Source organism: Homo sapiens, chromosome 2 (assembly GCF_000001405.40).
Source record: "Homo sapiens chromosome 2, GRCh38.p14 Primary Assembly".
In the NCBI taxonomy this organism is placed as follows: Eukaryota; Metazoa; Chordata; class Mammalia; order Primates; family Hominidae; genus Homo; species Homo sapiens.
In genome coordinates, this window is record NC_000002.12 from 134,253,389 (window position 1) to 134,269,763 (window position 16,375).

The 16,375-nt window shown below is 42.8% G+C and overlaps 1 protein-coding gene across 23 annotated transcripts in view, besides 2 other annotated features; it reads left to right on the forward strand.

Moving 5' to 3' along the window:
* MGAT5 (alpha-1,6-mannosylglycoprotein 6-beta-N-acetylglucosaminyltransferase) overlaps positions 1-16,375 on the forward strand; it is a 334,687-nt gene that overhangs the window by 133,454 nt on the left and 184,858 nt on the right. For 12 of the 23 annotated variants that reach the window (XM_047444397.1, XM_047444395.1, XM_047444399.1 and 9 more), the window contains one exon: positions 874-1,256. In XM_047444397.1, coding sequence (XP_047300353.1) covers positions 1,016-1,256 — 241 coding nt within the window. In that variant the 5' untranslated portion in view covers positions 874-1,015. Of the gene's footprint in view, positions 1-683; positions 1,257-16,375 lie in introns of those variants that run through there. The other 11 variants (XM_006712534.4, XM_047444400.1, XM_047444401.1 and 8 more) reach the window with 4 other exon arrangements.
* Positions 5,719-5,848: an enhancer, noted in NCBI's record as "active region_16552". NCBI's record gives its function as "activates an Ori minimal core promoter by ATAC-STARR-seq in GM12878 lymphoblastoid cells {active_cell/tissue: GM12878}" and the evidence as "EXISTENCE:reporter gene assay evidence [ECO:0000049][PMID:35858748]".
* Positions 8,323-8,372: an enhancer, noted in NCBI's record as "active region_16553". NCBI's record gives its function as "activates an Ori minimal core promoter by ATAC-STARR-seq in GM12878 lymphoblastoid cells {active_cell/tissue: GM12878}" and the evidence as "EXISTENCE:reporter gene assay evidence [ECO:0000049][PMID:35858748]".

The following is a 16,375-nucleotide window of genomic DNA, read 5'->3' on the forward strand; positions in this document are numbered from 1 at the left end:
ATGCTCAGGTCCTACTTGTTGGGAAGCCCTGATTGAGAAGAGTGGCCTGGTCTGTGCTGGCATTAGATAGGATCTGGCTGCATTAATATTGAAACTACTCTGCCTTTTAATGTCTCATTTTGCCTCATGGTGGGAGTGAAAGTGAGAACCACAGAAAATCTGCCTGCCAGGTGTTCCACATTTCTTGTGCTACAGCATGCAAGTGAGCAGTGAGGTGTACCTTTTCCTCATGTAGCTGGGAAAGCAATACCCCTGCTTGTACCTCTGGCATATCTTCTCTGTGCTGGTGCACCTAGAGAGGTTGCCTGGTGGCCCTGAGAGAGCCATCTCATCACTAAACACTGATGGTGAAAGCTGGCCATGCTCAAATAAGATGTAGCAATCTACCTCTTCTTTGTCTAGTTACCCCCAAGGGGGCATCCACTTTCTTGCTCACCTCACCAGTTGCATGTTCTAGTCCTTGCCAGAAGCACATAATAATGACTTTGTAAGCTTAAGTTACAGGCACACAAAAGGGCCTGATGGTGATATGACTCCACCCTCCCCGTTTTTGCTGACATTCCGCCAAATATCCTTCTGTCTCCTCCCCACCTTGCAAAACAAACTTCCTGTTTTGAATTTGGTCCAGGCTGGAACAGCCCCACTACACCTGTTAACACACGCAGACGCACACTTCCCCCTTCATAATTGCTTAGCTTCTTGTTGCCTAGCCAGATTTCCCCTCAGCTTACAGTTCCTGAATCATAAGATATTGAACCAGCAAATTTAAGAGTTGACATTTTACTTAGAGGTATTCAAGTGAAAACATGGCTTCTGGTTTATTTTGCTGTATTGTGCCATGACCACTTGGCTAATTCTTCTCCTCCTTCACAGCAGAATGGAAGTGAGGAAAGGCAACCAGCTGACACAGGAGCCAGAGTGAGACCAGCAGACTCTCACACTCAACCTACACCATGAATTTGTGTCTATCTTCTACGCGTTAAGAGCCAAGGACAGGTGAAGTTGCCAGAGAGCAATGGCTCTCTTCACTCCGTGGAAGTTGTCCTCTCAGAAGCTGGGCTTTTTCCTGGTGACTTTTGGCTTCATTTGGGGTATGATGCTTCTGCACTTTACCATCCAGCAGCGAACTCAGCCTGAAAGCAGCTCCATGCTGCGCGAGCAGATCCTGGACCTCAGCAAAAGGTACATCAAGGCACTGGCAGAAGAAAACAGGAATGTGGTGGATGGGCCATACGCTGGAGTCATGACAGCTTATGGTAAGCACTGTTTCTGGGACCTCTCCATTAAAGTGTGCCTTGGCCTTGAAATGGCCCTAGAAGCTCCCAGATATGGTCTTGTCATGGACTGAATGTCCTTTGCCACTGCCTTCATAAGCAGTGAATTGCACACAGAGAGGCATCTTTAGGAAATTAAAGCAATGCCATTTTGGGGGTTCTGAGCTGGTGTATGCAGACACACTTTCCCCTGGAGTCAGTGGGTTAGTATAGTTAGGGCTCTATTGGTTGTGTTTGCAGCTAGCTCCTTCTCCCTGAACACATTTCAGGAACCATGTGATCTCATGTGGGAGTGAGTTCAGGGAATGCTGAAAAATATTCTCATCTTTCCCTAAACAAAACTTAATTAAGGCTGGTGGGGGTGAGGTGAAGAGGATGGGGAGGAATGTTCTATGGAAGCCAGTAAACTTAGAGCCAATTGTGTTCCTCCCTCCAGCCAATAAATATGACACTGGCACTTGCATGCTGGTGAGTTTTAACCTTTGGCTTCTTGAGGTTATGTTGCTCTTCTTCTTGCCCTTGTCTCTAACTGCCCTCACTTTGAAAGGAATCTTTGTGTACTTGTTGCTTTTTCTTTAAAGAATTTTTTTCAGAATTCTTTTTGAAATCAGAAAGAGTAAAAAAATACACATATGGGATGTAACTTATTTTTCTTTTATGTTTAATATAGAAAAAGTTGGAAGCTGTAGACAAGCAAAAAAAGAAAAAAATTACACATAAGTCTACTACTCCAGGCAATAACCACAATTAACATTTCAGTGTGTATTTTTCTGATACTTTGCATACACACACAAATATATATATACATATATATACATATATACATATATATACACATATATACACATATATATATACACACACATATATATATACATACACATACACACACAAATACTTGGAAAAAAATTGCAAATGGAATTTAGATCATGCTGTGTTTTGCAGAGCAGACTTGGTCTGTAGAAGATGACCTGTTGTTGAGTGACAAGAGTCTGATCATTGAATTGAGGTTTCAGTGGTCTCACTGAAGTGGTCTCCCTGATAGTATAGATGAGATGCAAGAATGGGGTTAGGTGAGGTGGAGAAAGTGGAGTTGTGTTTTGTGACCCACTCAAGGAAGGTGCCCTGAAGTATGCCGATTTCAAATCGTGATTCCCAAAAATGTGCAGCAACAGTTCAGTTCAGTGCAGGTTGAGTTCAGACACAGGAAATCATACTCAGTTATACATGTGCTTCTTTCTTTCCAAAAGGGGAAAAAAACTTGTTTTTAAAAAAGTATGTAAAATTTTATACACACGTATGTGTATGTGTGTGTGTGTATGTGTATATATTAGAAGATGCTTACTTCTGAGGAACATTTTAGAAATTCTTTTCTAGTTCTTACTATGTAAATAATCACACTCTGCATTTAATCTGTTAAAAGTGTCTGTAGGCATTGGCTTTTAATATATCTAAAAAAATGGTACCTTTTTTGAACTGATGGATTTAAAAAATGAGATTCCACTGTGGGAGCTTACACTGAAAAGTAACTAGGTAGTTTTTCCTAGAGTTGCATTTTAAAATTGCTCATTGACTCACATTTGTGTAACATTTCCAGAGTAGTTTAGATAAACCAACAGAAAATAAAGCTGATTGTCACCATTAGTGTTACCAATGTATATGACACAGCAGGTAACACAGGTGCAGTTTTAAAGTTTCTGGTTGTATGCATTTCATGTTACAGCTTTGAAGGGAAAGAGTTACAGCTCAGTGGTAATTTTCTCTTGTTTCTCTCAGTCTGTCAAACCTTTTCCATGGGCAAGAAGAAGCCCCACAAATAGCAAATTTATAGGCTTTAAATTTCTGCAGTTGTTTTGGCTGTTTGTATTTCTTGTGTATTGATGAAAATCTCATAGGGAAGGCTTCCCCACATTTTAAAGGACAATAATTTGGTCTTAGCTTTTCAGCCTCACAGAAATATTATTTTTTAAGTTACAAAAAAATCCCAGAATAGGCTGTTAGAATTTCAGCCACCTTATATGCCTGTAATCATAAGACTTTGCATCTCAAAGAAACTATAGAAATTATTTATTCCAACTTACTTTCGTAGATGAACCTTAGCAAAATAATTTGTCTTTTTCTCAAAAACAACAAAGAAACAATCAAACAGGTCACATCAGCAACTCTAACTGACACTGCTAGTTTTCTCTTTCATCGAATCAACTTTAACGTATCAAAGTGGTTTTGGGAGCTGAGTTTCTGGAATTTTTATTGGACTTGTATGTATGTGCTTGAGGTACTGGGGGGTTATCACATGGTGAGATCCTACTAAGACAGTGTCTCATTTGGTGCTGTTGACTTTTGGTCTAAATAGGTCTTGATTGTGGTAGGATTTCAGCAGCATCTCAGGGGTCTCTACCCACTAGATGCCAGTAACAGCTCCCTAGTTGTGACAATCAAAATGTCTTTAGATATGTGATAATTATCCCCTTCCTGCCACCTTGGAGAACTGTACTAAGAGTGGAAGCCACAAACGCTATCTGACATCATCTTTTTAAGGATGTTATCAAGCAGATAACTGGTTTTAGTTTTTTTGTTTGTTTGTTTCTGAGATGGAGTCTTGCGTTGTTGCCCAGGCTGGAGTGCAGTGGTGTGATCTTGGCTCACTGCAACACCCACCTCCTGGGTTCAAGCCTCAGCCTCCAGAGTAGCTGGGATTACAGGCGCACACCACCACGCCTGCCTAATTTTTGTGTTTTTAGTAGATACGGGGTTTCACCATGTTGGCCAGGCTGGTCTCAAACACCTGACCTCAGATGATCTGCCCGCCTCAGCCTCCCAAAGTGCTGGGATTACAGGTGTGAGCCGCTGTGCCTGGCCTGGTTTTAGTTATTTCAAACTTGAAAGCCTAGTGTTCCCCCTGGTTTCCAGTTCTGGCACCAACAATTTGGATTGAACAAGAGGATTGTACTAGGGATTAGTTAGTATAGTCCAGGGCCAGTCCTAGAAGCTGGAGAGCCATTCTGATGATATATGCTTCCCTTGGAATCTGTCAGTATCAGTAACATTGTGTGACATGCAGGCAGCTCTGGTAGTTAATGTCACATGCTGGTGCAGAGACTGTAGGATTCTCAATGGTATAGCTGGGCTGGCAGAACAGTGATGTGGATGCATAGGCCATTAGTTTGCAGTCTCTTTTTTTTTTTTTTTTTTTGCCATAAATGCAGCCTATGTGCAGTGCATTGCCTACACATCTGCTTTGAGAGTGAAGAGTTGATCCTGTATGGCTAGGATTTGTGTCTGGTTTAAATGAATCCAGCAAAAAGAAGAAAAAAATTCCTTCTTTATCTCATCCCCATATTGGTATAATCAGAGGCTTTTAGGATAAATGGGTATACAGTAGGTATTTGAGGGATTGTAGTAGCTGATTTTAGATGATTGCTGATTTATTAGAATTTCTGGTTAGAGATTCCAAGGCAGCAGGGCTCGGTGAACTATGACCTATGCGCCAAATTCAGGACCTTTGATTGTGTAAATAGTTTTATTGGAACACCTCCACTCCCATTTGTTTGTAACAAATGCAATAACAGATAAACACGGTAATTCCAGTATTTATTTCATAAAACATCTGAAACATTCTGAATCCATCAATCAGCAGTCACCATGGTTATTCTAAATACTCATCTGATCAAGTTCCTTATTGATTCAACTATTTCCCAGGACTCCCATGGTCTAAGGCAGAGTCAGCAAACCATGGCCTACGGGCCAAGTCTTCCTTGGTACCTGTGTTTGTAAAGAAAGCCATGCCCATTTAATTATATGCTGTCTATGGCTGCTTTTGCACTATAGTGGCAGAGTTGAGTAGTTGTCATACAGACTGCAAAGCCTAAATATTTACTGTCTGGTTCTTTACCAAAAATGTTTATCAGTCTCTGACCTAGATAGTCTCTGGGTGAGTCTCTCTCTCTACTGGATTTTGTGTGTGTGTGTGTGTCCCAAGTCTCTTTCACGCCTGTGTTTGGATTCGCTCACGACATCTTCATAAGGTGCACACATAAAATGTAGCATTTCTCTGCCCTCTGAAAATGCTTCTTCTAAGTGGCAGGTCGAGAGTTGTAGTGGTTAGGAGCATGGGTTTGGAGCCAACTGGTTTGTCTTTGCCACATCCTGTCTGCATGGCTTAGGCCCTAGAAGCACAAAACTGCTTTAAAGTGGGGTGTCAGTGCCTCTCACCAAGGACTGTGAGACATGAGCAAAGTGCTGTGTGTCAGGTGCCTGACATTGTGTGCTTGTTGTTGGCTGTTAGTGTGACTTGTGACTAGTACTCAAACAATAATAGAACTTGAAGAGTATCTTCCCTTCCCCAACCCATCCTTGTTTTGGTGATTTGAAAAGAGACTTCTGAACTTCTTTGGGATTTGGCAACTCCAAAGTGATACTCAGAACTCCCGGGCAGCCCGTGTGGAACATTCAGTGCGTTTGTTCTTGGAGTGTGGAGGGCTTTTCTGTGTATTAACTCTGTCAGTCCAGAGAGGAGTGTGTTGGCTTTTGCCTCCCAGGCAAGTGTAGAGCCAGAGCCCTCTGCAGGTCAGCCCCATCTGCATCTCCCAGCCAGTGTGGCAGGGGCCATGCCTGCCAGTGACGTCTCGGGAATTGTGTCATGGATGGTGCCACTCACCCGAGTCAATGCTATTCTTGTTTCTGAGGTGAATTGATCTCTGTCTCCAGCAGCCTGACCCAAATTCTGATCCCTAGTGATCACCTCTTATCTAACAGGACAAACCCGGTCCACTTGTGTTCTCTAATGAACAGTAATGGAAATCTGAGGCAAGGTGACATTTCCCCTTATGGTCCATCCACACGTTGTTAACCCTGGCTTCTCTGGGCTGGGGTACTGTCCTAGAAAAGCTGCCAGCTCAGGCTCAAGCAGCTGTGGGCTCCCAGCTTCTCTCTGCCGACCCCCATCCCACTTTGCCTGCTGCCTGTTTCCTCCTTGACCTCCAGGTTCTGTGTGCCTGTTCTTCCCTACGTTCTGCCTGTCTCCTGGTTCCCTGAGCTTTTTAGTCCTGGACTGGCCCTTTGGCTTCTGTCTTTCAAGCCTGGTCCTTCAGGAAATGTCTGTCATTGGCTGGAATATCCCCCACATTTTGTGCATACAGTGAGAAACAGATGGACAAAGGCCCTGCTCTCATAGATGCTTTGTTATCTTTGGAAGGGAGAAATAATAAGCAAGAGAAAGTCAGATAGCAGTACATTCCAGGAAGAAAAATGGTGATAGGGTTTAAAATATCTGAGGGGCTACTTTGCACTAGAAGGTCACCTCTCTGGAGGTATCTTTTAACCAGAATGACACACGGAGCAGCCAGGTACAGTGGAAAGAGAGAGGTGGAGGCAGAGCATGCCAAGGAGAAGGCACGGCGTATGCTAGGTCCTAAGGCCTACTCCAGGGTAGAAGGGAGGCCACTGTAGCTAGAACGAAGCAAGCAAGCAGTGGCATGGAAGGTGTTGAGGCAGTGAGAAGCCGGCAGCTTATGCAGAGCCCTGTAGGCTATGACTTCTGGTATCAATATGGATGTTCTTATGCAGAAACCAGATGTTGACCTCACCCTATAGTTCACTGCTTTCTCTATGGGAGGAAGGAAGTTTTTTCCTTAAGGAGGCACACACGCCGGTTGGAGAACCAGCATAGGGCTTTTGGTTGCTGGTTGGGGGCAGTGGAGAGGTAACTGCTTTGGACTTCCGATTGGCCCTCATTGGCTTGGGATGCTATGTCTAAGATGTTAATACCATTTAGGGCTGCCGAAGATTGCTCTGAAAGGTTAGCAGCTGCCCTGTGTTGCAGATCCAGATAACGTTCTGAGATTCGAATGAGAGCTTTTGCAAGTGTTTCCTTCCACCTCTCTTGTGAAAAAGGAACAAAAACAGGTTGGATTTCATTAAAGATGCAAGCATGTAAAGGGTTTTTTAGTTTGTTTTGTTTTTCCACTTTTTTTTTGTGTCTCTCTTCCTACAAATAGGGAAATATGGTCAAGGAATAGGAATGGTTTCTTTTTTCTTTTTCTTTTTTTTTTTTTTTTGAGGGCTGGGACTGTTGTGGGATAATGTGGAAAACCACTGTTGCCAAAGTAGAAATCCCCTGCCCTTGAGGGAAATACACTGTTCTTGAAGTGAAAATGGTAGGGAAAAAAATAGCTGGGCTGTTCAGTGTGTCTGAGAAGGCTTTTAGTTACTGTATGGTGACGTGGCTGGTGTGATTAAAGAAAGGGCTTTCTGCTTTAAAAAGCTTGGAACCTAAAAATGGGCCTCTCTGTGGCTTGGGACTTTTCCAGCCATCCTGTGGTAGAGTCCAGCCTGCCCAGTATCCTCATCAAAGCCAGGCCAAGTTCACAAGCACGCCCAGGCCAGTCAAAAGGTCTGAGGAAGACCTCAGAAATGTTTTAGACAGGAGGAGTAAACTCAGAATAAGGGGCTCATTCTTCTACCCCTCAGTCATTAAGACCCTTTCTTTCATGCAGCACCACTACTTCAAGTCTGGATTGAGGAGGGATTGCACGCACATGTGTGAGGTTGGAGTCTCAATCTCAATGTGATTGTCATTGCCATGTTCAAACGATGAGGCTTAGAATGTCCCTTGTCTTACCTGATGGTCATAGCTCTCTATGACCCTCTGCTTCTTCCCAGCTGTGTCCTGGTGCTCTTTTGCTGTCAGAAGTGCTTGAGCAGACCTCTTGCTGCTGTGGACACCCTAAAAAGCTCCGCACCCCCTCAAGTCTACTAAGGCATGGTGGCTCTCTTCTAGGACAAGACTGTTGGGTGGTGGCTGAGCATTCGCCTGTCTTTGAGCGTCTGCATTTGCTCTCCCCCACCCCTTCCTCTCTTCCTTCTTTGTTTGTAAATAAAGTTGGTTAGAACACAGCCATGCGCATTCCATTCTGTTTCAGAGAAGTTAGCCTTCCCTCCTTCACAGGAGGGCCCAAACCCACTGTTACTCTCATTCTTTATAACACTCAAGCTACTTAGCATCAAGTATTTGTTGTATGAGCTGATCATGTGTCTCTCCCACTTACAATGTAAGTTCTGAAAGAGGAGGGACTTTGGTCTGTTTTGTTCCCCACTGTGCCCCAGAGCTTAGTACCTTTTGCCTGGCACATAGTAAGAGCCATGAATGAATAGCAGCAGCCCCTGGTGAAACTCTGTGATGCTCTGTGTGGTACAGTTACAGCTGGGACTCATTTGAAAATCACAGTAATGTTTTTAGTGAAGCAGGAAATGAGAAGAAATTCCCTATGGGCTCTGCATCTAAGAGGCTCCAAGTAGCTCTTATGCATGATCCTAACATGGGAACCATTGTTTATTCTGGAAGGTAGTTAGTGTTTCTGTTGGGCGGATGGAACACATTGTGTTCCTTACTGATGTGTGACCTTGAACAAGTCACCGATCATCTTAAAGCTTACTTCCTCTTTTGTAAAACAGACAATATAATATCATTTAACCTCATAGGCTTGTTGTAAGGATTACAAATGACAAAGTTTATTAAGGCACTTAGATTAATTTAGATTATTCTTGTTCTTTTTTTTTGGTGTTGTTTTTGTTTTATTTTGTTTTGTTTTGTTTTGGAGATAGAGTCTTGCTCTGTCACCAAGGCTGAAGTACAGTAGTGTGATCAGGCTCTAGCAACCTCCCCCTCCCAGACTCAAGCCTTATGCCCACCTCAGCCTCCAGAGTAGCTGGGACTATAGGCATGTGCCACCACACTAGGCTAATTTAAAACAAAAGTTTTTTTCTGAAGATGGAGTCTCACTGTATTGCCCAGGCTGGTCTCAAACTCCTGGCCTCAAGTGATCCTCCCATCTCAGCCTCCAGAGTAGCTGGGACTATAGGCATGTGCCACCACACTAGGCTAATTTAAAACAAAAGTTTTTTTTCTAAAGATGGAATCTCACTGTATTGCCCAGGCTGGTCTCAAACTCCTGGCCTCAAGCGATCCTCCCACCTCAGCCTTCCAAAGTGCTGGGATTACAGGTGTGAGCCACTGTGCCCAACCAGCGCTTAATTAAAATGCATTCATTCCTATTAGTAATCACTAACTCTGGCTTGAATGTACCTGCATCTGTTACCACCCAGGCATAACTGTTCATGTAGATCTGACGTTGTTCATTTGTTTGAACACAGGGCTTCAGCAACCTGTTTATGTAGCTATTCTTAGCATTTACAGGGGTAGAGCCTGACCAGACATGAGAGGAAATATGCTCTGTTTCAGAAGAGGTCAGGCTTGCCACCACCCTACTAAACTAGGAGATGTGGTTGTCATTGCCCTGTTCAAAAGATACAGTTTTCTTCTGTGGGCTGTAAGATAAGCTGGGTATGGCCAAGTTCACCTTTGGATCTAACCAGGGCATTGGTGGTGGTGGTGTTTCTGGCATGGTACAGCAAGCAGGAAGCAGTAGTGTGCGAGGCCACCCTTTCCAAGAAGGTGCGGGCCCTGGCATCAGGTGGGGGACAATGGATAACAATAGGCTTGACCTCTCAGCACTTCTCTGATTCCTTATCTTTTCTATAAAAAAGGCTAAAATTCTTGGTTCCTATTCCCTGCAGCTGGCTACATGTTAGGAAAATTCAAAGAATAGCTTAAGAACTCTATTCAGGTTCCATAAAGCACTTAATATCATCAACAGGCCTAGAAAGGATCTTTTACCAGATTTCGATGCATGGAAACTTCCTCAATAGTAATGACACCCTCTGCAACACCTTAGGAAAAACATTCGCTTCTGGGCACAAGTTCTGGTGAAAGCTTAAATCTGTAGTTCTAACCCAGAAGAGAAGGCTAGTCAGTGTTGCTGAGCATCTGAGCTGCTCTTTGACTTTGGTGATAATTGTTTTATGCCCTTTTCTGTCCAGAATCTGCTGACTGGGACAACTGCAGGGTGGAAGCCACCTTTTTGTCAGTTCAGGAGCAGGCAAATTATCTAACATGTGGCTTTAAAATTCAAATGAGATAAGGCAGTAAGGGTCACTAAGATGTTTCTGGTGGGTATTGCCTTACATGACTTTAGGGTACTGGTGGCACTATCTTTGATTCTTAAGAGTACAATTCATTGTACTATGTATATATATTTAAAATAACACTTAATGCCTTTGTGACTTTGAAAATAATGTGAATTTTTATGTAAAATTAAAGCATATGAGGAAGTATGGAGAAGAATAAAGAATAAATACACTCTTTACCTCTAAATGCAGATCTTACCAGATAAAATTGATTTCCCTTTAGTTCTTTAAAAAAAAAAAGTGATACGTACATGTGTGTATATGTGTATATATGTACATGAATATATGCTTTTTTAAAAATTAAGATACTGCATTTCCTTATGCCATTAGGTTTTTTTTTTTTTTTTTTTTTTGAGATGGAGTTTCACTCTTGTTGCCCAGGCTGAAGTGCAATGGCACGATCTCGGCTCGCCGCAATCTCCGCCTCCCAGGTTCAAGCGATTCTCCTGCCTCAGCCTCCTTAGTAGCTGGGATTACAGGCATGTGCCACCATGCCCAGTTAATTTTGTATTTTTAGTAGAGACGGGGTTTCTCCATGTTGGTCAGGCTGGTCTCAAACTCCCGACCTCAGGTGATCGGTCCCCCTCGGCCTCCCAAAGTGCTGGGATTACAGGCATGAGCCACCGCACCCGGCCAGCCATTAAGTATTTTTGATGACTGTATACTTTTCGTTTTTTATCCATCCACTTAACAAATATTTATTGAACTCCTGATATTAATAGCTAGTGGCTGTAAACAGAGATGACAAGCAGACTTGGTCTCTGCCCTCCCTAAGTTTACAGTCTAGTGATTTATTCTATCTTATGAATGGCTGACATAATGTAATTTAATCTTTTTATTTTGTGTTTGGGTAATTTCCAGTTCTTATCTGTAATAACGCTATTTTATAAATAACACTGCTTTGAATGTCCTTGTACATAATAAATGGACTGTATTTGGGTCATTACTGTAACTCTATTATCTTTCTGTGGAAAGATCACTCTAAAATTAATTTAAAAATATATAATTGATGAAACTTGACATTCCTGACAGTCAATGGAAATAAGAGGTTGAGGTTAATTCTTTTTTCAATAGCACCTTCCTTTCTCATTAACGCCCTGTCTTTGCCAGTTTCTCCAGAGCAGCAAGTGAAGCTGCTCTGTGGCTCTGTTGTTCATGCTCTGCCTCTCGGGCAGCCATGGTGAAAGGGATTTGATTCATGAGCAGGCACAGATGTAAATAATTTTTGGCATTTCAGATGTAAGACCTTGCTCATTGCGTAGTTGGTTCTGTGCCATAGTATCATGGCGGCCGTACCTTCACAGTAGATCTCAACCTTGGCTGTGCCCTAATCCTTGACGGACTCTGCAGATCCGGATTTAGTGTGTTGAAGATGCAACCTGGTAACTGACTGCACAAAGTGAGTCTGATGCACAGCAGGGCTAAGAACCACTGCTTTAGAAGCATGTTCCAGGAAAAATGGGGTGGTGGACAGCATAGCTCCCAAGCATGGCCATTTTTGATAATTCCTCAAATACGGATTGATTTTGATGATCTGGGAAATGAAGGTTTACCACCCAGTCTCACAGCATTAGCTGATAGATCTATAAACCTTATTCCACCAGCAGGGCCCTCCTTTTTACTGAGATCCCATCTCCTTGAATTCCAGAGATGGAGAAAAGTGTGACTTGCAGTTATAGCTCCTTGGCTGTCTGCTCAAGGATGTGTCTGTCAGGCCCTTCCAATCACTTCTTACCCATCAATACCATGGCTTCCTGGAAATGAAAACTTAACAGAAGCTGTCAAATAACCTGTTCCAATGCAGTTTAATCGACCTTACCATTTATCAAAGAATGCTGGCATGATAGAAACCAAAGCCTGCTTTCCCCAGAGAGACATTTTAAATGTTTTTCAACTACTTTGATCTCGTCTTCATCATGTACAGTAAGTTTTAGGAATGCAGAATTGCAGTAGTAATGTTGGGATTAAATTTTTATTGCAAAGGCTTTGAAGCACAAACAAAATTTTAAAAGCTCATTAGTAATTGAAAATGATAATCTTGTTGAGGACGCATTTTATGGCTATAATAACTATAAGACGCAATGAAATATTAAAATATACTAGAATTTGGAGTAATATTTTTCTATTTTTATTAAACTATAGAAATTATTTGTACAGTTGTATTGAACAAAAGGGTTACCATTAGGATTAAAACACAAATGGTCTGGGCGCGGTGGCTCATGCCTGTAATCCGAGCATTTTGGGAGGCTGAGGCTGGTGGATCACAAGGTCAGGAGTTTGAGACCAGCCTGACCAAGATGGTGAAACCCCATCTCTACTAAAAATACAAAAATTAGCTGGGTGTGGTGGCACCTGTAATCCCAGCTACTCAGGAGGCTGAGGCAGGAGAACTGCTTGAACCCAGGAGGCAGATGCAGTGAGCTGAAATCGTGCCACTGCACTCCAGCCTTGGCCACAGAGCAAGACTCCATCTCAAAAAAAAAAAAAAAAAGATTAAAACACAAAAATACTGTTATTTCTTTATTTTATTTTATTTTTGTTTATTTGAGATGGAGTATTGCTCTGGCTCTGTTACCCAGGCTGGAGTGCAGCGGTGCAATCTTGGCTCACTGCAACCTCCACCTCCCAGGTTCAAGCGATTCTCCTGCCTCAGCTTTCCGAGTAGTTGGGACTACAGGCACACGCCACCATGCCCAGCTATTTTTTGTATTTTTTGGAGAGACGGAGTTTCACCATGTTGGTCAGGCCGGTCTCTAACTCCTGACCTCAGGTGATCCGCCTGCCTCGGCCTCCCAAAGTGCTAGGATTACAGGCGTGAGCCGCCGCGCCAGCCTGTTATTTCTTTAAAGTTGTGATAAAACTGTTAACAGTTTTTGGAGGTTTAACAGTAAAATACAAAGGTGCAAAATAATTTCATTGCCCGGAAAGGTATAATTTATTGAGCCTTATTTGTGAGAGTACTATAGTTTGTTTCACTCATTCATTTGTTCACTTACGTAACACATGCTTAATGTGCCTAGCACTGTATAATGATACAGATATGGGCTTGGCGTCATCTCTGTCATTGTGTTTTTTATTAACAACATCCTTAATCTTGGGTTGGCTGCTTTGAAATGGTGACTCAGGTAGCTGCTTGAGTTGAAAATGAACTTTTTTCTTTCATATTGGGAGAGAAAACATGCCTACCTAGGTAAAGTGCTTAGAGAATTCAAGGTTTTTAGTAGGCTTATATTCCGTCTTCATTTTAAGGGAGAAGATAAAGAAAGAGTCTTAATTTTAAAAAAATCTTGGATCACTTGATGTATCTGGTAGTCTCCAGTGTCAGCTGGTGGATGTTTAGTGATACTGGGTCGGGTGGACAGAGTTACCACAGGACAGGGACATGAGTGAGTCTTAAGAGTGATTGGTATATGTTGTTACACAAACACATGGCAAAATCCCAGAGGTTATTCCCTAACAAGTAGATTCAGGGGGAGCAAGTCAGAGATGCTTGCTGGTGGACAGGTCCATTGTAGTTCTTAAGAGGTGGTGAAGCATGGTGGGTAAGAGCCATCAGCCCTGGAACCAGACTGGGTTTGAGTCCTGGATCTGTAATCACCTCTGCTAAGTTATTTAGCCTCTCTGTGCTGTGATTTATTCATTTGTTAAGAGGGGCATAGGGATGATCACATGCTCCTCAGACTGTCTTGGTAGGATTAAATGAATTAGTTCATGTAAAGTGCTCAGCACACTGCCTGGCATATAGAAAGTTCAATAAGTGGAGGAGGTTATATTGGGGTGGCCGTGGTGATGGTGATCCCTCCTCCTCATTATGAATCCCCTTTTACACTCCATGTCACACAGTCACAGAAGGTCAATCTTTGGCAGATGGGGTCAACAAGAGATAGTAGGTCAGTTGTATTTACTGGTCACTGTAATTTGAGAATTGAGGGAGAATATCTTCTTAATTGTAAGTATGACAACTTCATATCCTACCTAGAGTATACTCCACTAATAACTATCACCAATAACAATGGATTGAGGGACTGTGTCCAGTAGTCTGATGAGAGCCCATCAGCATTGGCTCATGTTCTGTTAGCTCCCCCATAGGGAGGAAGGCAGACTTCTCTCACTGCAACTTTCTGTTGTATTTGTAGCAGTCCCTCCAGTGAATGGAAGTCACACATGATGCAGGTTCATTCAGTAGGCATTTCCTATCCTGTAACCTCTCTATCACAGTTCTCTCTCCATGTCTCCACAGAGGGGCAGTGGGGAATACAGAGGGGTTGAGAGAATGCACCTAATTCAGCGGTTGTCAAATCAGGGCAGTTTTGTCCCTCCAAAGGATATTTAGCAGTGTCTGGAGACGTTTTTGATTGCCACACCTGGATAATTGCTGTTGTCATTCAGGGAGTAGAGACCAGGGATGCTGCTAAGCATCTTACAATGCAAGGACAGTCACCACGACAAAGAATTACCCGGCCCAAAGTGTCAGTAGTGCCGAGGTTGAGAAATCCTGAGTTAAGTCACACTAGAGGGCCAGGGCTTCTGTGCTTGGCCAACTACAATTACCGGTGATAGTTAAATGCTATTCTAGATTGTATTCGGATTCTAGCTGGCTGATGACACAGGCTCTAGGCAAAGAGGCTGAAATGGGGGAGATTGATCTTTTATATCTGAAGAGTATTTCTTTATACTGAACATTGCCACTTCTCACTGGCACGACTGCCCCCTTCTGTGTGACTGGCCTCTGGCACTCTTCAGAACTCTGGAGAGCCAGTTGATGCATTAGACTTAGTGACAGAACAGGTGACTGACTCCCGCTGTCTGTGCCAACTAATGATGTGCCTGTGACAAACTGAGTCATGCTGACCGTGGGACTGCAGACCGCAGAGGAGAGTGCTCTCATGACCCCTTGGATAAAGCAGTGAAGCTTTGCATCACCTGAGGAGAGAGTTCTTTGGGAAGGATGAGAACATTTTCCAGTGAAAGGTTTTATTTTACTTATATATTTAACAGGCAGTTATGCAGTGCTTATTATGTGCCAGCCAGTATTCAAAACACCTTATAAATATTAACTCTTTAACTCCTCTTGACAACCTCAAAGCTGAAGTGTTGTTCATGTCCCTCTTTTACAGGTAAGGAAACAGGAATGCCAGAGGTAGGACTCAAACCTAGGAACTCTGGCTCCAAAGTCAGGCCCTTAACCACTGTGTTATGGATGAAAGACTCTGAACTTCACCCTTGGTTTCTTTTTTCTACCCAGGTTCTTGACTTCTGATTGGTCCCATTGAGATGTCAGGGAATTAAGCAGTCCTGAGGCAAGCCCTCATTTTATCAGCTCATTATTTAATATCTGTGAACCTCAGTTTTCTTATCTGTAAAACGGAGTCACATCTACCTCATGGGGAGGATGTGAAGATAAAACAGTTGTCCATTTTGCATTGCTGTAAAAAATACCTGAGCCTGGGTAATTTATAAAGAAAAGAGGTTTATTTGGCTCAAGATTCTGCAGCTGTACAAGAAGCACAGCACCAGCATCTGCTTCTGGTTCATGAGGCATAATGGAACAGGCTGGTGCACCTTTGTTGAGATTCGCTGGCTGTGATCTGTGCTGTTTATGTGAGCATGTGTGTTTATTTCATGGCCAGATTACCGCATCTGCTCAGGGACAAGTTTGCTCTGTTTTTAGGAGAATGGAAGATGGCACCTTCCCGTTTGTCTTAACTCAGGGCTTTTCTCAGTCCTGCTACCCACACTGTGCACTTTTCCCCTGGCCCACTCCCAATTCAGAAATGGGTCTGGATTCTATTTCTGTGGATGGTTATGCAGTCACCCATCTGCTTTTCTGACACATACAAGTCAGTATATCTTTCTGTGATTATGAATTTTTAGAGGAGAGAGTCTAAGCTTATCTTTTCTTTTTTCTTTGAATATCTTGTCTACAAATAGTAAATGCATCCATAGGGGTGAAGAAGGAGTTCCTGTAATTTTTCCAGAGGGAAGTGCAGTACTCTTTAATGTGTAGTCAGATGTGTGAGAAAGGGAACCAACTCTTAAATGTAAGAACGATGAGAGTATATCCCCAGCATCTAGAA